General features: G+C 33.7%; 1 protein-coding gene across 2 annotated transcripts in view; it reads right to left on the bottom strand.

The window, feature by feature from the left end:
* Positions 1 to 18: 18 nt before the first annotated feature.
* Positions 19 to 23,549, bottom strand: part of PHF14 (PHD finger protein 14) — a 195,747-nt gene continuing 172,216 nt past the window's right edge. For both annotated transcript variants that reach the window (NR_033436.2, NM_001007157.2), the window contains one exon: positions 19 to 221. Coding sequence is in view for 1 of the 2 variants with exons in the window: in NM_001007157.2 (NP_001007158.1) it covers positions 147 to 221 (75 nt within the window). In the remaining variant the exon portion in view is untranslated. The remainder of the gene's footprint in view (positions 222 to 23,549) is intronic.

Here is a 23,549-nt window from a genome sequence, read left to right as displayed (position 1 = left end):
TCCAAATACAAGCTCCTATTTCATTTTGAATGACTTTATTGAGAACATTTTGCAAATTAGATTTTACAATTTAACATTTTACAATTAGAAATTTTATCTGCTATTACATAAGCTGCAAACTTTTCAAAAACACTACAGAAAATCTTTTATTTCTTTGGATTTTTCTGTTCCATGTTGAGCTCCTGAGATATATTTTTTCTTTCAGCTTCATTTTCATCTTCCTGTGAAATAAATTTTAGAAAACATTAAAATATAAACTTTAGAGCATTTATCAGCTATACTTGACAGATTTTAACTGCATCTGTAGAACTATGAACTACTGTGATTCTAATAATCCTAAACACAAATGGTAAAATTATGTAACATTTAAATATTTGCAATAGGTGCTGTTTTATAGAACACATTAAAATTTTCTGTATGTTTTTAAAAGCAACCAATTTTAACAATGCCCTAAAAATTACTTTGGAAACACCTGCCACTGAAAAGTGTTCTTTGCAGGGGATGAGCTAGATATTTTTACTTCACTGCTTGACAAAAAACAATAAATTTAATTGCTAAGACACTTCATGTGCTCCAGCATGGCATTTTTTTGCCCCATCTAGTATACTTTCTTGACAGGTGTGCCAATTTTCCAATTACTTGTACCACCATATGTTATCTGAAGATCAGTGAGGTCTAAAATAGGAAGCATGTGCATGTCGGCTTAGAATGCTTACAATCTTCTACAGTTTCAATTCTAAGTGGTGGCCTCATAATTCATAGCAGGTTCCTGTGGAACATGGTGAATAGATGAAATGACATCATAATGTCTGCTTTCATAGAAATGAAGTGCATCTTGTGTTCAGTATTAAATGGTAACCTTCAAAGTATAAGCAATGAGAGTCTGGAAAAATATTTCATCTTACAATTTGTAACCCATCTCATCATACATGTTCTTTCAACACACCCAAGTACAAAACAGTCTTGCTTTCCTAATATTTCTGATTTATCATTTAAGATTATTTATTTTTATTAACTGACATAAAGGTACTCTTCTGAGTTAATTAAAGCATAAACATCAATTTAAGTATTTCTAGACAACAGTAATAATCATCAATATCATCAAACATACCACTCTATCTCTGTATCTGATGAAACCAAATTAAATCATTGAATTAAATAATTGTTGAACTCTACTTTGTGAATTGACTTTATAAAGTAAAAGCAAACCAAGGTATGCATATTTGTTTTCTATGACAAACTACATACTTGCCAGTAATGATTAAGGCGGGTGAAAAAAGCTTTTTTATATACTTTGTTTCTCTAAACTCAACGGAATCTGTGATTTAGACTTTGTTAACACTGGGAAAGTAGAGAAATTATCAATATTATCAACCAATCTGAATCATTATAGATATGTAGAACACCAGGAATGGGGTTTTGAATATCATTTTGGCAATGTAACTTTGATATATTTTTCCAAGTATGATAGCCACTGTTTGTCATTTCATTTTTTCCTTATTTTATCTCCAGTGAATAGATACATTAAGTTTGATTCTTGAAAATTTATTAATGAACATGTGTTTTCCACTTTTAGAAAAAAGTTCCTACAGATGACATTTCTTTTTTTTTTTTTTTGAGACGGACTCTTTCGCCCAGGCTGGAGTGCAGTGGCGCGATCTCTGCTCACTGCAAGCTCCGCCTCCCAGGTTCACGCCATTCTCCTGCCTCAGCCTCCCGAGTAGCTGGGACAGGCACCCACCACCACGCCCGGCTAATTTTTTGTATTTTTAGTAGAGACGGGGTTTCACCGTGTTAGCCAGGATGGTCTCGATCTCCTGACCTCGTGATCTGCCCCGCCTCAGCCTCCCAAAGTGCCGGGATTACAGGCGTGAGCCACTGCGCCCAGCCTAGAGATTACATTTTAACTACATTATAATAAAAAGTAAATCTTACTCTACACTTTCCCCTGTCTTCTTCAGGAGAGACACTGTTAGAAAGTGTTAAATCAGCAGGTACGGATGGCAAGAAATTTTTGATATGTAGCACTGAATTTGTCCATCTGTTCCTCAAAGGAAGGTTTTATCTTCTGTATCTTATACATTCCTACCATCTAACAGGACATACTTAGTATATAGTTGTAGTCCAATCAATATTTTCTGAACTATGTGAAACAGTGGAATAATGAACGAATAAAAGGTATGCCTGAATTAATACATAATTTGGAAAAGCACAATATTGTTCTTAACTATCGTAAATTAAGATTGCTAGTACTCACACTTCTAGCAATCTTAACTTACTATATAACAACAGTGAAAATAAAAATAAGCAAAAATGTTTGAAGCAACATGAGCCAAAACAGCCATTATCAAGCTCATACCCTTTAATTTATAAAAGAAAGATGGAGCCTTTATCACACGGACAGTCTACTAAGTTTCTCCACCGTATGACTTCCCGGTTTAACATGCTTGGCTATCTAGTTTTCTCTAGCAACCTTGCTGCTCTAAGTCAAAACACAAATGTAAAGACTTAATAACCCCAAGGACTAGGAGGTACTTATATACTTTATTTTCATATTTAACTATGGATATAAGCTATTGGAACATGGTTAAATGAAATAAAAATTTGCAACTTCCATTAATTTGAATATGTTTTAAATATATGGATAAGATATATATAGATATGCCAGTTAAGTAACATTCTTAATATAATGTTTGTCTTTTTGTTGTTGAATTTTTCTTAGAAATAAAGTACAGTTTATAAATGCATGCCTTCTAACACTGCCTGCTGTTCAGGACAGGTACATAACTGTTTCACACCTTTCTTTGTGCTGAGGATTTGTCTTAAAACATCTTGCCTTTTATGCTGTTAAGTCACTTATATAACAAATAAGAGCCAATCTCTTTCTTCCTTTTAGAAGGATAGCTGTAACCTAGGTGCAGAAAAGCATTATGAAGGGGTGAAAAAGGCATTCCACTCTAATTGCTAGAGTATAATATTAAAATTGCTATAACATTATCAAAATAACAGTAATAGATTTTATCATAAATAACATTAAAATTTGATCTAATAAAGCTCTAGGGAAGTCTTTTTGGAAATGCTAATTTATGTTTTTCACATTGCAGGTCAATTTTTGTAAGAATTTATACGCAGTTCCAGATTAATAAAAATCATTAAAGTAACTCAGACAGCAAATAAAATATAATTGATAAATGACTGCATAATAAATAAAATTGCAAAGGAAGCTTTTTACCAAAGCATTTCTTTACTACTGGATATTATAGGTAAGCAAAAATTTCTTCTGATATACAGGAGGGTTTTTTTTTTTCTCTCTGCTGAGATAAGACATCTGTTTGTTTCCCAATGAAAGAAGACCCTGGCTACATGGATCATTTTCTTAGTGACAGCCCTGACAAGTTTGACATTTGTTTCATGAAGTGTTCTGAAACAATCGTAAAGAAAATGTATCCTTTGAGGCTACTGGAAAGTAGACAGGCTTACCTCTTAATGTTTAAACTTGTTAATTCATACTCTAAAAAAATACACTGACTATAACAACTTTGCAGATCTGCTAGTTATATGTGAAATTTCAAGAATGTGCACTCAATTAACAGTAACACCTGTAATATCAAATGACAAAATTTGGTTCCTTAGCCTTGCTCTTTTTACACGGACAGAATTGTAGTGAGAATGGTAATTTCTAGGCACAGATGGACCATTTAATAATGGGCTGATACTCCAGGTGGCAATATGAGACTGAGTTATTCTAACAGAGAAATTAAGTAAACACACTGCCATGTTTATCTTATCACTAAATAAAACTTGCAAGATTTTGCTTAAATGTTAGTCAGCTTGCACTATCAATTTGTGATAGAGGAGACCCTCGGTTTTTCTTTATTTATAAATGTGATTTAGTTCTCATGATAGTTCAAATAATTGATGCCAATTAATAAAACCTATCCATTCTTTTCCTTCCTCTTAGGACGTAACCAACTCCTAACAATGGCCAACTATTTTAGCATCTGGAATTTATATCACTCAGGTAATACCTGGATACAAATTACACTCTATGAGTACAGATAACTTTGTTTACCTTGTAGACTGCCAAGTTTAAAAGATTTCTTAAACTCTTGTAATCCTTTATATAAAAGGATTACACAAAGAGGCAACTCTCCCTATTCTTTATATCTTTATAGATGTTGATGTAAGTACCTTTATAATGGAGAAACATGGCAAACAACACCTTAACCAAATGGTCAAGGTTAATATCACCAATAATATATATTAACACCCTGATACGATGTATTAAAAACGGCACATCACCTCTGGTTTGTGGTATCCTTCCCAACAGGGTATAACCTAATTCTAATCTGAGAAAACATCAGATAAACCCTCTACAATATAATTAAACAGTAGTCTTCAAAATGTCAAGGTCGGCCGGCTACAGTGGCTCACGCCTGTAATCCCAGCACTTTGGGAGGCCGAGGCAGGCGGATCACAAGGTCAAGAGACCGAGACTATCCTGGCCAACATGGTGAAACCCCGTCTCTACTAAAAATACAATTATTCGCTGGGTGTGGTGGCGGGCGCCTATAGTCCCAGCTACTCGGGAGGCTGAGGCAGGAGAATCGCTTGAACCCAGGAGGTGGAGGCTGCAGTGAGCGGAGATCGCGCCACTGCACTGCAGCCTGGGCAATTGAGCGAGACTCCGTCTCAAAAAAAAAAGAATGTCAAGGTTATGAATGACAAGACTTGGAACTATCACAGACCACAGGAGACTATGGGGACATGATGACTGAATGCAGTGAGGAATCCTGGACTACATAAAAAGGACATTAGTGAGAAAACTGGTAAAATTTAAAAATGGTTCTTAGAGTAGTAGCAGCCTCTCAAAGTTAATGTCTTGGTTTCAATAATTGTACTATGGTTACATAAAATGGCAACACTACAGGAAGCTGGATAAAGGCAAATGGGAAATTTCTACACTATTTTTGCAAATTTTCTGTAAATTTAAAATTATTTCAAAGTAAAATGATTAAAGAAACAGAAAATAAAAATGGCTACCTAATGAAAGTTTCCTAAATTCAAATAAAGTAAGTAAAATGTATGGGAACAGATTTTATAAGAAAACAAATGCAAGGCACCTGTAGCCTCTACACTGAAATATACAGCTATAATTAACAGTTTGCTTTCCATCATTCTACCCCAAATTCCTAAGTACCTAAAATATTCATAATGTTGATATTATTGATTTTTATTTTCTTACCTGTGCTTTGCCACATTTTCTTGTTTTCCCACTGTGAGCATAGATTTCCTTCGTAATCAGAAAACATAGCTTTCTTTTACTAAGTCCCTTTATAATTTGGCCATATGAACAAACTATTTCCAGAAATAAGTAAGAGTTACAAGACTCTATGAATACAAAGAGAAGATGTCACTTGTTTTTATTTTACCAAATATGTTCTTCACAGCAGGCAAACATCCATGGTGGTACAACAGTAAAATGAAGGGAGACGGTGCAGACAGGCACTAACTTAAAATGTTTCTATATTCTTATGATATTTTCTTTAGATTTTAAATATTCCTTTTACTAACCAGAGAAGGAACAGTTATTATAACTGGATCCAAATTAATAGTCAGAATTATCTCTATACTTTAATAATGTTTCTTTTAAAAGTGTAAGAATACATATATAGCTTTTAGGGAAAAAACATGTAGACACTCAACCTGTTCTAACTGCTGGTAGCTACGGAACAAGTGTAGAAAGAAAAACAGATACACTACTTGGCTTCCATCTGTGGTCAAAAAACTATATTGTTTTATTCATTTAAAAACATATGCTAGATATGTAACTCTCAACAGCATTTAAAACTGTGTTTTTAATACAGAAAATATGCTAGTGCTGCACAATGAAGAAATAATTTATCTTAATAACTGGAAAATACTGACGATAATGAAAATGTTTTAGGCAAAATGAGCACACTGCATGCTTCAGACTGAAATTAATTAGAGTTTTTAACGTTTTACAATTCCACCATAATTCTTTAAATGGTGCATTTACCTCATAGTAATAAACACTTGGATCATTAAGTAAAGTGCGAAATGTGTGTGATATGCTACATTTAACAACCTTTGGCCTTTTATTTTTCTATACTTCTGCATTCAGTTTTCCAATGCATTGAATGAGCAATTGAAGACCACAATTAGATTTCCTGACTTTGCATATTTGAGATTCTTATTTCATTTAATACAAAAGGCAATTAATATACCATTTTACAACTGAATTCCAACTTTAGTGAGCCATGACAGATACTGAAATGAACTTACAAGAAATGCTTAATTAAATTTACTGTAAAAAGCATAAGAATTTTTTTGTATGATACAAGTTGCATATTTAATTAGAAATTCTAAGGCTATATTATGAAATTAAAGTCACTTGGGATGTTCTTAGTAAACTCAGCTCAAACACATATATCATTAAGTAGAATAGAGCTCTTTTTAAAAACCTTACCTTTTTTCTCTATTTAGTGATGCAAACAAAAGATAATCAAAGAGATCTCCCTTTATTTAATACTGCAACATTTCATTCATTATTTATTAATAGTAAATATTTTTTAAATAGCAAGATAGAAAAAGGGCAGTAACAAATTTCTAATTTCATGTATGGGAATACATAAATAACTATTTCTTTTCTTGAGCAATCACTTCTCTCTCCAATTCATGATTCTGGAGCAGATTGAGTAGAGTAAGTTTTTAGCTCCTCCTGTAACTTTTTACTTCTTTGTGGCAGCTTTTCGTAGCAAAGAAATAGGGCAGTGGTGGTGTGTGCCTGTAATCCCGGCCACTCGGGAGGCTGAGGCAGGAGAATCACTTGAACCCAGGAAGCGGAGGTTGCGCCAATGCACTCCAGCCTGGGCGACAAGACCGAAACTCCATATCAAAAAAAAAAAAAAAAAAGACTTTGGATTTCCCATGTATGACCTGGGATCAAGAGGGACTCCCTCTGATCTGGGGAAAAAAAGGCCCTAAGGATTGCCACAGCCATCTGAAGAGGGCATATTTACACTAAAGGCAACAAAGATCAGTGAGTGAAAAGTGACAGTGGCAAACTAGGATAAAGAAAGGAAAGGAAATGAATGATGGATGATAAGTATGAGTTAGGGTAGACTCTTAATGGGCACAATCCCAATTCTATAAATTTATATATTTCCATAAACATGAAAAGCTACAACTTTTATAATGAATATTTGTAGGTGTTTAAGACATCTGGCTAGGCGCCATGGCTCACACCTGTAATCCCGGCACTGTGGAAGGCCGAGGTGGGTGGATCATCTGAGGCCAGGAGTTTGAGACCAGCCTGGCCAGCAAGGAGAAACCCCGTCTCCACTAAAAATACAAAAAATTAGCTGGGTATGGTGGCGTGTGCCTGTAGTCCCAGCTACTTGGGAGGCTGAGGCACAAGAATCGCTTGAACCTGGGAGGTGGAGGTTGCAGTGAGCCAGGATTGCACCACTGCACTCCAGCCTGGGAGACAGAGCAAGGCTCTGTCTCAAAAAAAAAAAAAAAAAAAAAAAAAAAAAAAAAAGACATATTTTTAAGATATCCTGCTGATCTGAAGGGGCTAAGAATACTGTAAACAGCCTTTTCTGACAGGTGAATTCTTTTATGGTGAGTATGTTTGATAACCCTGACGAACTTATGGTCTTGACAATAGAAAATTTTCCTTCAGGTAGTAAACTACTAATATCTGGGAAATACGCATGAAGTGTATGCTAGAAATCTATATTAAGAGGCTCCTACATTGGTAACTTTCCTTCATTTATAATATTTTTATTTAAAAGTTATTACCCGCTTTTGAAATATTTAGGCAAAAATAATATCTAAAAATGTTATCTAAAATCTAAATATTTTTATTTAAATAAAATATAATATTTTTATTTAAATAAAATATAATATTTTTATTTAAATAAAATATAATATTTTTATTTAGAGTTTTTACCTGCTTTTGAAATATTTAGGCAAAAATAATATTTAAAAATGTTATCTAAAATCTAAAAATAATATCTAAAAATGTTCAAGATAGGCAAGATCACTAGTCAAATTACAGTTCCATAGTCAGATTTTTCAGATTGAATAAAAATCAGTGATTGGCCCATTAAAATTTTCAGAGACGTAAATGACTAAAAATTACTCAGCGATAACTAAGTTTGTCATACACACATAAAAAAACAAGTATATTACTTATTCATTAATATAAGCAATAATCATGAATTGTTTAGGATTGGCCATTGTGGAAACAATGCCTTCTTTAATAGAATATGACAGCATTTTGTTTATCCTTCTCACTGGACAATGAAAATTTTAATACAACACTCGACTCATTGTATCAAACTTAAAACTTGTATTGAGAGAAAAATATTTTTTTTGCTCAGGCCCTAAAATTAAGTTTTACCAAACTTCTATACTGCCATTAAAAAAAAGTCATAATATCTCCATTCAATAAATGGTGCTGGCAACTGGCTAGCCATATGCAGAAGAATGAAACTGGAGCCCTACATTTCACCATATGCAAAAATTAACTCAAGTTGTGTTACAGATTTAAATGTAAGACCTCAAACTATAAGAATCTTAGAGCAAAACCTAGGAAACACCATTCTGGACATCTGCCTGTGGAAAGAATTTATGACTATGTCCTCAAAAGCAATTGCGACAAAACCAAAAATTGACAAATGGAACCTAATTAAACTCAAGAGCATCTGTACAGCAAAAGAAACTATAAACAGAGTAAACAGACAACCTACAGAATGGGAGAAGGTATTCACAAACTATGCATCTGACAAAGATCTAACATCCAGAATCTACAAGAAACTTAATTCAAAAAGCAAAAAACAAATGACTCAATTAAAAAGTGGGCAAAAGACATGAACAGACACTTCTCAGAAGACATACAAACAGCCAACAAACATATGAAAAAATGCTCAACATCGCTAATTGTCAGCGAAATGCAAATCAAAAAGATATTATCTCTTTTGTGATAGTATCTCATTGATACCATTCAATACCAGTCAGAATGGCTATTATTAAAAAGTCAAAAAACAACGATGCTGGGAAGGCTGCAGAGAAAAAGGAATGCTTATACACTATTGGTGGGAATGTAAATTTTTTCAGCCACTGTGAAAAGTAGTTTGGAGATTTATCTAAGAACAGAACTACTATTAGATCCATCAATCCCATTACTGGGTATATAGCCAGAAGAAAATAAATCATTCTACCAAAAAGACACACACATTTGTATGTTCACTGCAGCACTGTTCATAATAGCGAAGACATGTAATCAACCTAGGTGCCCATTAATGGTGGACTGGATAAAGAAAATGTACATATATACCATGAAATACTATGCAACCCTTAAGAAGAATGAAATCATGTCCTTTGCAGCAACATGGATGCAGCTGGAGGCCTAAGTGTATTAACTCAGGAACAGAAAATCAAATGCCACATGTTCTTACTCATAAGTGGGAGCACATTGGGTACACAGGGACATGAAGATGGCAATAATAGACACTGGAGACTACTAGAATGGGGAGGGAAGGAGGGAATAAGGGTTGAAAAACTAACTACTGGGTACTAGGCTCATTACCTGGGTGATGGGATGAATCACACCCCAAAACTCAGCATCACACAATATACCTATGTAACAAACCTGCCCATGTACCTCTTGAATCTAAAATAAAAGTTGAAAACCTTTTTATTAAGTTGATAGAAGCGGAAAATTGCTTCTCATTCCCTTTTTATTTGCATTTTGAATAAAAAGGAATATCTTTTCATCTATTGTTAGAATTTTTTCTTTCTATAAATTGCCTTTCCTCAATTTTCTGTACTTTCAAAAATTAAGTCGAACTTTTAATTTTAAGATCTTTGTAGTTCACATGCAGTTGAAAGAAATAATACAGAGATCCCTTGTACCTTTTACTCTGTTTCCCTCAATGGTAACATCTTGCAAAGCTGTAGTGTAATCTTATAACCAAGATACCCACATTGATAAAGTCAAGAATGTAGTTTTCCTAATTTTTGCCCACTTTTCTATTGTGGTAATCATCTTTACTATGATTGGCTTGAATATTTTCTTTGAAAATTAAGAAAATCATTTCATATGTATTAAATATATATTTTTCTCTCAGAAAAAAACAGAAAAATAACAATCATCATCTTTGGCCATTTAATTGACATCACAATAAAAAGTAGGAGAAAATACTAAAAATATAATTTTATATTTCCTTTGCTGAGTCTTGATGTTCTAGGCAAACCATAGCACACGTTTACCTATGTAACAAACCTGCACATTCTGCACCCCAGAACTTAAAAAAAATAGTTATAGATCACACCATGTCAAAAACCAAAAACAAATAGAATTTATATAAATGGCATTATAACAATCTTAACATCACTTTAGAATAAATAACAGATATTCAAAAAATGAAAGGTAACAAATTTTCTTAAGGAAAATAATATTACCTACATAAGAACTTGATTTCACTGACTCAAGTTTATAAGATTCAGAGTGAAAACTATAATTTGCATTAAGATATAAAATAGCCTGATTTAAATATTTCAATACTTAAAATCTTTTAATATTATTACTTCTGAGGCCAGATAAACTGTAAATAGTTTAAACTGACAATTTTGAGACTAAGAAACAACTCAGTATCTAAATAACAAAATATCTAGATAATAGATTTTCAGTTAGGTAATTTAGAAACTGTTTAATATGTCTTCAGTGTACAATACCCTTGTTAAGCAGAATGATGTCAAGGTATTCATTTCAAAAGCCAGTCAAATTCATAGATGGACTTCAGGCTAATCTGTAAGCAACTATGACATACATGGAACATCTTATTCTCTTATATTTCTCCTTAGAGACATCAAGTCATAGAATATTAAAGGTGAAAGAGTCCTAAGATATCTTATTTAAATCCCCATTGTTTGTATGAAAATACTAGATTGACAAAAATATGAAATCAGTTTCTTCACCAGATTTTAAAACTGCTTAGTGACTTAAAAATAAAACAACTCCCCAAGCTGTCTTCCAAACTCAAATGATTTAAAACTACTTTGTTAAAGCAAAATAAAAAAAGTAGCTTCATAGTGGAGAAAGCTGACAAATACTACCTTGACTGATGGACCAAGGCTAACATCACTAGTAATGTATAGTATGTATACTGACATCATGTTCCCCTGCTCTGATGCACAGAGAAGCGACATCACCTATGATCTATGGTAGCCTTCCCATTAAGGCACAAACTCAATCTAATCATGAGAAAATATTAAGCAAACCCAACTTGTGGGACATTCTACAAAATAACTGAAGAGTACTCTTCAAAAGAACAAAAAGATCATGAAAGGCAAGGAAAAAGTAAAGAATTGCCACAGACTGGAAGAGATTGAGGAGACATAATGACAAAATGAAACAGGAGATCCTGGATTGAATCTTGGTCCAGAGAAAGAACACTAGTGGCAAAACTGGTAAAATACAAATAAATTCTACAGTTTATTTAACAGTATTGTATTAAGATTAATTTCTTAGGTTTGAGAATTGTTCTATGCTTATATAAGATGTTAACCTAAAGAGAAGCTGGGTAAAGGGTATATCAGAACACTCCATCCTATTTTTACAACTCTTTTAAATCTAAAGTTATCTCAACAAAAAATAAAACCAGACAAACATCTAATTTTTGTTAGATGATTTAGAAGTACATTTGATTTCTAGTACTATAAAGTTACCTGCCAAAATAATGTGCAGAGGCAATCAGAGTTATGGAAAATGGGGTTTCAGTATTTCTATGATTTCAGCTCATTACAGACTCCACACTATAAATGAGTATTTACTGCCAGCTAGTAGAATCATACAGTCATTCAGTAACACTGAGGGATGTCTAACACATGAAATTCATTGTCATGTTTTTAAACGCTTGCAGTTTAAGAACCATTAGAAAATTATTCAACTGTAATATGGTAAAAATGTAATATGATCCATTTTTATTTCTTCAACTGTAGTTTCTTTGGGAGGTGGATGTCCTTATTAATACTGACATTTTATCTCAGTACATTTAATCAAGGGTTTCAAAACAATGTCTACTATATAGGGAAAAAGAGGTACTTAAGAAATTTCTCCATAGAAGCATCATTTGATCTAGGACACACTGAATTAAGAATAAAATGTCAAAACAAAGTAAAAATATTTGGCAATCAACACCTATTTTTTTTTTTTGGTAACCCATTGACAGACTTTATTGTATTGATCAAATAATGTTCTCATTTTAGAAGAGTATGGAATACATTTAGTCCTTTGACTCATATTAGACATTTTGTCTTTTTAAGATATTAACTCTTGAAGTCACGTCTATTCCTAGAATCCTTCCTTTCTTCCTCCCTCAAAAATTTATTGAACAATGATTGTGTGCCAGATACTAAGCAAGGTGTTGCAGAAAATATGAATGAGATGTTTTATTGCCTAGAGGATCTCATGCCCCAGTGTGGTAGAGAGGCATGCAAATAATCACAATGCAATGGAGAAAGTATATAATAAAGTGCATCAGGTATACATGGAGGTGATAAAGATAACTGAACCATGACAACATATAAGGACACTATTTTTATGATTACTATGCTACAGAGTTCAGTTATGATATCAAAATAATATACCCTTCCTCATGCCCAAAGGTGAGTATTGTGAATCTTTAAAACAAATACTGCTCAATGTAACTTATACTGCTCTTTTAACATAAACTCAACATCAAGGACTATATGCTTTGGAAATAAACTTAAGTGTAGAAAGTTAATTTCTTTTCTTTTTTCTGTTTTTTTTCTGAGACAGTCTCGCTCTATGACCAGGCTGGAATGCAATGGCACGACTTCTGCTCACTGCAACCTCTGCCTCCTGGATTCAGCGATTCTCCTGCCTCAGCTTCCCGAGTAGCTGGGATTACAGGCGCCTGCCACTACACCCGGCTAATTTTTGTATTTTTTAGTAGAGATAGGGTTTCACCATGTTGGTCAGGCTGGTCTCGAACTCCCGACCTTAGGTGATCCGCCGCCTCGGCCTCCCACAGTGCTGAGATTACAGGCATGAGCCACCACGCCCGGCCAGAAAGTGAATTTCTAAAACTTTACTACCAAGTGAAAAGATTAAGTTGCTCAAATATCCTTATTTCAAATGGAATGTTATTTTCCCCAGAGTGAACCCATTAATCTTCAGTTTTATTGGAACGTAATAGCTCATTAGATATCTAAGTAACACTTCTCCCATGGCACATTAATTTTTCATGGGTTAAAAAGAAATTGAATTTGCTTCAAGAAAAATTTAAAATACTATTTTAGAAAATTTCACACAAAAAAATTCCTCAGTAGTGGCACTTTATTATCAGTGTCAAAAATAACGTCCCTATTTTCATTATTTCCACATCTTGGATTTACTGGTTATGTCTTAGCTACTACTTTGCTTTTATTAAAGAATGATTAAATGTTTAAAACTGTTTTGAACTGTTACCATAATGAAAACCACCACTGGTATGTACTTAAATGATTCACAAAACAGGCCACTTGGCAAGTATCAAATCACTTATAAAGCTTGTCTGAAAATGCATTCATTTAGCCAATGGTTTCTATTACCTATTAGCTACTACATAAGTATAAAGTTTTTCCCAATATTTCATAATATAGGCTATAAAACATAAGGACAAAATTATTTTATAAAATAAAATTTTAAAATATCTTACTTGAAAACAGATCTCCAGCAAGCTATATAAGCCATCTATTCATTCCTTCCTGATTGAACATCAACTAGCTAGCTATGTGTCAGGCACTGTGCTAGTTGCTAAAAAAAAACAAAAAAAAAACATTGTATATAAGACAGACACTGTCCCTGCCTTATGGAGTTTACAATCTGACTAAAACAATTGATCACTCAAGTAACTGTATCATTGCAATTATGACACATTCAATGGAAGAAAAACATAGTGCTATGTGACTTTTAGTAGAAGGATCTAAAAATTTCAGCAAAGTCCCCTACTCTCCAAAAAATGACTAATGCAATGAGACATGAAGGATAAGAAAGAGTTGGTCAAGCAAACAATGGAGGGAAGAATATTCTAAGTAAAGGGAACAGTGGGAAGGGTAAGTCAGCCAAAGCCCAGTGAGAAAGAGCAAAGTAGTGGAAAATAACACAGAAAGGTTGGGAATTCTGCTTTTCTGGTTCTAGCATTACACAGTGCTCATGGTTGGTTACTTCTGACATACTTCATATTTGTTCTGTTTCTTCTATGCAATTGTGTAGTGGAGGAAATTTGGGCTTTGTTGTCAGTGACTGGCAAACCCAGATTCAAATCCTAACTTTGATACCTACACTACCCAAAAATACTTTGAAGAAATCACTTAAACTTTTAGAACCTAGTTTTCTCATCTATAAAATGGCAGTAACTATTTTTGACGACTAAAATTATTAAATAAAATAAAATATGAGGAGCCTAGCACAAATCCTGGCCCACAGAAAGCACAATCAAGTCTATTCTTTCCTCTTTCTAGGCTTAACTTTACGACAGTTTTTAATCATTAATGACATACTGCTGTAGTGAAGATAGGTACCTACAGATAGATAGTAAGGATCCTCTTCAAAAACAGTGCTTTTTTTTTCTAGCTAAATAACCATCATTATGTTATTAAATAGAAGCCAATTCTACCTATGTCACTCTAATTTCTTGATCTTGCAATTTCAACTGTTGGTATTACAATATAATTGTATTATTCATAGACAGCAAGAATAAATAAATAAAGTGGGTGAATGATTACATTTAAAGACATTTGTTCCTAAGTAGTAATTAGGAAAAGGCTATTAATTAAATAATTCCTCCAAGTCACCCCACGGGCATCTGATTAGCATTTTTAACTGAAGTTCTTCCCAGAGTTACTCTATAGTCTGCATGATGTTGTCATTGTAGAGAATGTAAATTAATGCTCTTTCTCTCTGAATAAAGCAATAATGTTAGCATAATAGTCCAACTGATATGAAAACAATATTGGGAATCTAGGTAGGACCAATATAGGTCTAGGTAGGACTATTATTTAGAAGACTAAATAATGATTTGGTACAGAAATTAGACAAATATAGTTTATTAAATTGACTTAAGACCTTTTTAGGCATATAGTTGCTTAAACGAAAGCAGGCCATATTCTTACAAATACAAAGCATTTTTATCTTTGTATCTTTGATTTTTAGAAATACTGACTATTGGAATGGGAAGAGAAATTAAAAGTAATTTAATTCACCTTGAAATGATGTTTACATTTTGTTTTTCTTTTATACATGCAAATGTACAGACACACACACACATACTCAAGTGGATGTGATTTTAAATTGAGGAACTCTGTATACATAAATGGTAAATATCAGTATTCCTTAATATAAATACAATAGTAATTATTTAGTAAATAATAGTCCAAGTCATAGCAATGAAGTTTCACTGCAATGTAAATTCCATATAAATAACCTGGTTAAATCCATTAGTTTCTTTCAAATGTGTTTGTCTATCATTATCATGGTAGACCCTACCGGCGACATGAACTGATTCTGGATAAGACATGTATGGAAGCCTACAGGGGAGCTTCTGGGAAAGTATTCCTTATTCTTAAAACACACACACACACACACACACACGCACACACAGACAGGGACCACTTTCATAGGCTTGCCTCTATGTATTATAATGTGAGGACACAATACTTCGAGACTCTGTAGCCATCTTGTGGCCATGGGAGTAAGTCTAAGGTTGAAAGTCAACACACTGACAATGTGAGAAAACAAAGTCTTCTTTAATTAATCCTATAACCACCCAATTTTCTCAATTTTGAATATACAGGGTATGAAATATTAAAAGTAGGTGGGTTTTCTGTTAAAGAATCCTTACCAATGACAATATTGGCCTCTTAAATTTCTTCTAGTTCTATGAGTTTTTCCCTCTGTTTAATGCTGTCCTTAGAACTCTGCTATCCTTTGATAATAGTCATCTGGAGATGACTCTAAATGGCCACAAATGCCAACTACTTTATGATGACTTTCCCATTTATATCTTCAGCCCTCACATCTATACCATGCTTTAAACTCATATTCCAACTGCTACTTGTCTCCAATAAACTTTTTAATAAGGACCTCAAACATACCATGTACAAAGCCAAATTCTTGATTCCCAACCCTAAACTTCCCCTACCCCCACTAAAAAAGACTTATACCTCACTTGGTCTATAAGACTCAGTTGTTCAAACACAAACTCTAGGGGTCATTCCTTAATTCCTTCCTTTCTCTTATACTCTATAGCCAACTCCTGTTATCTTTATCACCCAAGGGTATCTAAAATCTGTCTAGTGCTTTCTATCTCCACTGCTACCATCTTAATTCAAGCTATCATGTTTCTTGCCTGTGGATTAATCCAATAGCTTCCTAATCAGCCTCCTTGCTTTGGTTTTATAATTGTATACCTATTCTTTATACAGGAGACAGTAATCTTTGTAAGACACACATCACATCACAATCCACCCATGCTTGGAACTCTCTAGTAGCTTTGTATTTAGGGTAAAATCCAAACTACTGCCATGACCTAGAAAGTACATCATCAGGCCCTTCTGACCTTTCCGGCCTCACTGAGTTCTCCGATCTGCTCACAAGTTCAGTTTCCTCACCTGGCTCCAAACATGCTGCTCTTCCCTCTGATTCCTGAACAAAATGCAGTAGGTGTTTCCTCTGACTTTTATTTTGTATGGCTCATTTTTCTTGTCATGCAGGTATCAGTGAGTGAGTTCTTTGACTTTATGCACAAAATCTGCCCTTCCTCCATCACTCAGATTGTTTTCCATAACATTTATTACAATAAAATGAACATCCACTTGGTTATTTACAGATTGTCTGTCTGCCTTACTAGAGTGCATGCTCCACGACAGCAGATTTTCTGTTTTTCTTATTACGATATCCTTATAAGTTAGTCTTATTCCTATCATATTGTAGCCTTTCAATGAATAGTTCTTATGAATAGTTATTGGATATATGAATGAATTCCTTACTATATAGAAGCATGGGAATCAAGTAAATAATAATTTTGACTTTTTGAGTACTTCCTATATACAGAATATATTACAAATATATTATTGTATATTATTAAAGGCTTGTATTTACGTTCGTTATTTATAATCCTCACAAAAGCCAGGCAAGATAAATATTATTGTTCCTATGTTCCAATGAGGAAATTGAAGATTGGTGACACTCAGGAACTGCCCTTGGTCACATATCCAAAAATATTAGAGGAGCTAGGATTCCAAACTCAGCTCTGACTATAAAAAGTATTCCCTTTTCAATATACCGTATGTACAGTTAGAATTGCTCATGATCAATAAATTTTAAAAGCTTCACATACTTTTCCAAAACAATCCAATTTTTGCTCAATGGATACTGACCAGATTATTATTCAGTTATCTTAAAAGGTCCTAAGTCTATCTTGCAGTACTGATCAAAAGCAATTTTCAAATCCAAAACAGCTTGACAGTTCTGCTACCTGAAGATTATTTATGAAAATTTTGGTAAACATATTAACTCTCCTTCTAGTTTTTCTACTATTCTGAAAATATTTAGGATTTATTGTGGTATACTTCTTAAATCTTATGAGGATACAGAAATAGAAGAGGAAAAATGTATATTGGAAAAATGTACAAGGATCAGCTTCTGAGGAACATAAAATTCTGTCATTACCTTGGAATGACTGTTCTTATGTCTTAAAATACACTCATATAGTGGCTTTCTCAATACTTTAACAGCTACTTACAAAATAAGTTATTTTCCAAGCAAGAAAAAAATGGCCTTTATTTGTAAGAAGAAGAATCACAAGCCTCTACAGAGCTAGGGCCATGCATGACTCCTGGGGGTCTTGGGAACATTGATAGCTCAAACTCAAGAGTCTTAAAGGAAAATCTCAGAATACTATTAAATTGACTACAAAACTCTGACACAATGCTACAGTTAAGAACAACAACAACAAAAATGAAGTTATAAATTTATTTATTTTGAGATAGGGTCTTGCTGTCGCCCAGGCTGGAGGGCAGTGGTGTGATCATGGCTCACTTCAGTCTCAACCTCCTGGGCTCAAATGATCCTCTGGCCTCAGCTCCCCAAGTAGTTGGAACTATAGGTGTGCACCACCACAACCAGCTAATTTGTTTTTATTTTTTATAGAGAGGGTGGTCTCACTATGTTGCCTAGGCTGGTCTCAAACTCCTGGCCTCAAGCGACCCTCCCACTTCAGCTTCCCAAAGTGTTCGGATTACAGGTGAGAAACACTGTGCCTGGCCTGAAGTTATAAATTTAAATATATAAAAATGAGAAAATACACAGAAGTCAGTGACTTCATAGTGACATTATGTGGCAACCACATTGTTCAATAAAAATATTTTAAATGTTTACAAAGTGCTATTTCTCATAATATACATGTTCAACAATTACTCAGAAAATTTAAATTTATATTTCACCATTGCATTATGACAGGTTTTTTTGTCTAAGATTCTATTTTGCTTTTCTTATTTTTAAAATCATTGATATATCTTTTATTGTAAACAGAAAACCCATTAAGACAGTGTAGTTCTTTTACTTTTCTTTTAAAGTAGAAAATAAACTGTACTTGAATGTTTGTACATTTCAAACTTTCAGGATTGTTTGAAACCTTATTAACATACTGAATTTCAAAAGACTGATTAAAGCAGGAATACAAGTGAACCACAGTAGACATTTGAGACTTTGATACCAGTCTGAACTCTTAGAATCTAAGTAGCCTGAATCATTGTCACAGAAATGATATACCCCATAATTAATTTGTTACATATTTCACACACACCACAAACAGCACAATAAATACCTAATAGTATGCTGATTTCTAGAAAGCTGTATAGAAAACTTGGTAACATTCTGCTTTCTGGAAAAAATAGAGGATTCTAATATACAAATAAATCTCTATGCATTATTTAAAGTAAGCTTTACTTAAAAATTTAATGATGCAAATGAAAGAATGAGAAGAAAGAAATAAAAATTCCCACTTCCTCTCTCTTTCCTTTCCTTCTTTCTTCTTTTATTCATTCAGTAGTTATGTCGTGAATTCTTATAATGTGCCATATGTTCAGGACAGGGAGGAGAATAGAGGTGATTTCCATTCTCAAGAAAATTATACACTTGAAAGGCAAACCTGTGTTTAGTTTATGCCTCTGTTCGTCTTTATAACCAGCAAACACAGAAACCTTCATGTTTCTTTAGCATATCAAATTATTTTGTTATAAAATGTTTCCTGCACAACAATAACCATAACTATAACCAGTAACAATAACCATAAGCATTCTAATGCGTATTGTAGCTCTCTTGGATGTTCTTTCCCCATCCCATTCTCCTCCCTTCCTTCTTACCAGATGTGACCAATACAGTGAATTGAATATTAATCACTCCCTGGCATATTGTTATACCTCAATATTTCATATGAATGTATGATGCTATGTAAATCTTCCGTGACTTGCAATGTATTTTCAACATTACATGTATATATTTATCCATGTTATACTTAATATTAACATATATGCTTTTCATCTCAAAAGCTAGCCTCACACACTAGAAACATTCAAGTTAAAGTAAAAGTAAATATATCACTATTATTTAATCTTGTTTTAGAGATGTTAGCCAACACAAGCAGAAAAGAGAAAGATATGAAGTATAAAAATTGTAAAAGAGGTGAAACTATCCTTACCTGCTATATACTTAGAAATATAAAAAAAAATCAACTGAAACACTATTATAAACAAGATAATTCAGTGAGAATCTCTATTCATTCATGAGGAAAATCATCAGTAGATAACAAAAAATAAAACTACAGATTATTCAAGACAACTTTTAAATTCTGTATCAGCATTCTTTTATTTATCTCCCTAAATTTCAAGACTGATTAAAAGGAATATTGCCCACCAAGTGTAGTTCTAGGAAGAGAAAACTGATATATTAAATAAGTAATTTGCATTCAAAAGATAAATCAGATGCCAAGGCAAGTTGCAATAGATTGTCAACAGATTTCTAGATTATTTTTCTTTAAAGGGCCATAAGATTTGAGAGCTAGAAGGTATCTTATTTAAAAATCATTTCATCCATTTTTTTTTAGTCTGTAGATAGAAAAGCCATTCCCAGAATACATAATGAACTTCCCCAGGGTCCCATAGCCAATTGGTAGAGTTAGAATCTGAATTTATGTCTCCTAAGTTGTAGTCAGGAATTGTTTGCCATGACGAGTCAGTACTGACCATAATGAGTCAATATGACTTTAGATTAAATGATGGCAAATCAAGCATGTTAAAAAAATTTGTGTGTGTGCATCCTATGAATACATCTTTTAAAACAACTGTGATGGCCTTACCTAAAACATCTACATGAGCACAGCAGAAAATGCACAGGCTTTGGTGTCAGACAAATCTTATTTTGAATCCTGCTTTGGCACTTAACTATTGGTTTGACTCTGTGAAAGGCATATGACCCCTCATTCTCAGTTTTCTTACCTGTAAAATGAAAACAAAACAAAACAAAAAAAAAACCCTATTTCAAGGAATGACTTTGGGTTTAAATAAACAAAAATGATTATGTATGCAAATTATGCTAGTAAAATGTTTATAACACAATAAAAGTAGATGTTCAAAACAATGTTAGCTACAGTTATTATAAAGTTTAAAATATATTTCCAAAAATTGTGGTTCAAAGTTGAGCTCAGATGCACAGTTGGTGAAAGCGCTTTTTCTTCTAACTAGAATTGAAATAAACATTTTTGCTTCCTTTTCTAAAAGTTGTTATATTTTAAGAATTAAACTTATATAAATGTTTGTCTATTAACCTACAAATGTGTGTCTATTATGTGTCAGGTTCTGTTCTAGGAGATGGGGTAATAGTGGTGAACAACAGCGTATCGTCCTCATGGCCTTCAATTTCAACAGAGACAGGCAACAAACTGTTAACAGATAAATAATTTCATATTTTGATACAGTGAAAGAAACAGGGTAAAGGGACAGAAAGTATGGGAGCACATGTTCTCTTAGGCAAGGTAGTCAAGGAAGCCCTGCTACAAAAGAGCTGACATTTGAGCAGAGACCTGAATGACTTGAAGGAAACAGTCATGTACTGATCTGTGAGAAGAGAATGTACAGGCACAGGGAACAAGGGCAACGGTCCTAAAGTAGAAAAGAGCACAGCATGTATTAGCAGCAGAAGGGACAGGAAATCGAGCATAAGATGAAAAGTTAAGTTGACTACATAGCCCATAACGGTTATTTGATTTGCAGTGAGAAGCCACTGGAGGGTTTAAGAATTTAAATAATATGATTTGCTTTTGGGTTTTAAGCTTATTCTGGTTGAGGTATAGAGAAAGATGGGTAGAAATTAGGAAAGAACACAAATACAGAGATAAGGAAGCAGTCTACTGCAAACAGATCAGGAATGATGGTAACTTGGAGTACTGTAATGTAGTCAGAACGGAAAGAAGTATGATATGCTTTGGAATTAAACAAAAGAAAGTAATTAGGAATGATTACACTGCTGCTGGTTGTCAAAAATGATGAGACTGAGGTAGGAAAGACTGTGGGAGAAGTAAATTGTGATGGGAATAGAGAAGAATCAAGAAACCAATAATTCTATTTTGGTAACATTAAGTTTGAGCCAATCTTTAGTTATCTAGTGGGAATGTCAGGCAAACATTTGAATATATGAATTTAGATCTTGGAAGAAGAGTTTGTGGATGGTATTACACATTTAAAAGTCCCCCAAATACAGGTACAACTGCATGCAATCACTCAGGGACATACAAATAGAGAAGGGACACAATGACCAAGCGTTACTAATACAACTTGAGCACAAATGGAGAATTCAGTTAAGAAGACTGAGAAGGGTCTGCCAGTTACAAACAAAGAAAATTAGAAGTCATGAAACCAAGAAAAGAAAATGTTTCAAGAAAGACAGAATGGTTGACATTGTTAAATAACATTGAGAGGTCAAGTAAGATTCAGACAGCGGCATAACTATTGGGTCTGATAAGAAAGAGATTGTAAGTGACATTAACAAGAGTCATTGTAGTGGAGTAATGGGGACCAAAGACTGTTCAAAATAGCTTAAAGAGGGACTGAGAGATGCTATTTTGCACTTCACCCTTACTCTTAATTTCAGGAACATGGATAATAACTGGAGTTGTAGCAGCCATCTTCGAATCATAATGGAAAGACCAAAAGAATCACAGTAAAAATCACTCCTGACGGCCTTGAGCTGCTATCTCTGGACTTCTTAAGTGTTATATTTTATATGTCCTATATTTAATGAAACCTTTCTTGCAGCATAAAAATATATCCTGTACAACCAAACAACACATATGGCTCTGTATCCTAGTTTCTCAGCTTTCACTTTGAATAAAAAATAGGCTGGGTGTGGCGGCTTATGCCCGTAATCCCAGCACTTTGGGAAGCCGAGGTGGGCAGATCTCTTGAGCTCAAGGAGTTCGAGACCAGCCTGGGCAACATTGCAAAATCCAGTCTCTACTAAAAAATACAAAATTAGCCAGGTGTCGTGGCACACACCTGTATTCCCAGCTACTCAGAAGGCTGAGAAGGGAGAGTTGCTTGAGCCCAGGAAGTTGAGGCTGCAGTGAGCTGTGATCGCACCACTGGACTCCAGCCTGGGTATCAGAGTGAGACTCTGTCTCTAAATAAATACATAAGTAAATAAAAACCAAAAAAGCTGCATCGTTGATTTGCACAAAAGTGAGTCAATTGCATTTATTGTAAACAGAACATGTTTCATCATCTTATTTTATATTTACATGTCCTAGTTCTGCTGGAAATGACCATGCGGAGCTGAATGTATGTATGAAAGGAAAATCTCAAACATAGTAGAGTTCTCTAAATGCTTTTGTAAAAATGTACATATATGTTGCCCTATATCCCCAACCATAGATAGATACTCAAATTCAAATCTCTCAATTTCAATTTAGTGTCCTAAGAATTATCTCTACATGATTGTAGTCAGGGGTATATAATATTTTGTAGTCTTTCACTTATTTCTTAAAATATTTCCAACTCTGGTGAAAAAGAGAGACATGGAGGTGAAGAAATGGAGGTCCTGAGTCTAGATAACTATTTAGAAATTTTGCCATAGTCCAGAAATGGGGCAACAGCTGGAGAAGGGATGAGGATAAGGTTAGAGTCTCTGAAGAATAGAAGCTGTTAAAACATTTGTCAATGAAAATATTGAAAAAGAAATTCCTCTTGAAGGAACAAAGATATTTCCCATCTGATATTCCTGTGGCAGATATATCCCATCTGATATTCCTGTGGCATATTTTCAAAAGTAAAGTCTTAAATCATATAAAAATTGTATTTCAAAATATAATTTTTTAATTTGTAAGTAATGTGAATATATTTGTAATGTATATAAATATATGTGAAATATTCTATTGGAGGAATTCTGACATTTTCACTGT

The sequence above is a fragment of the Homo sapiens genome, chromosome 7 (genome assembly GCF_000001405.40).
Source record: "Homo sapiens chromosome 7, GRCh38.p14 Primary Assembly".
NCBI lineage: Eukaryota > Metazoa > Chordata > Mammalia > Primates > Hominidae > Homo > Homo sapiens.
This window is presented reverse-complemented; position numbering and strand designations above follow the sequence as displayed.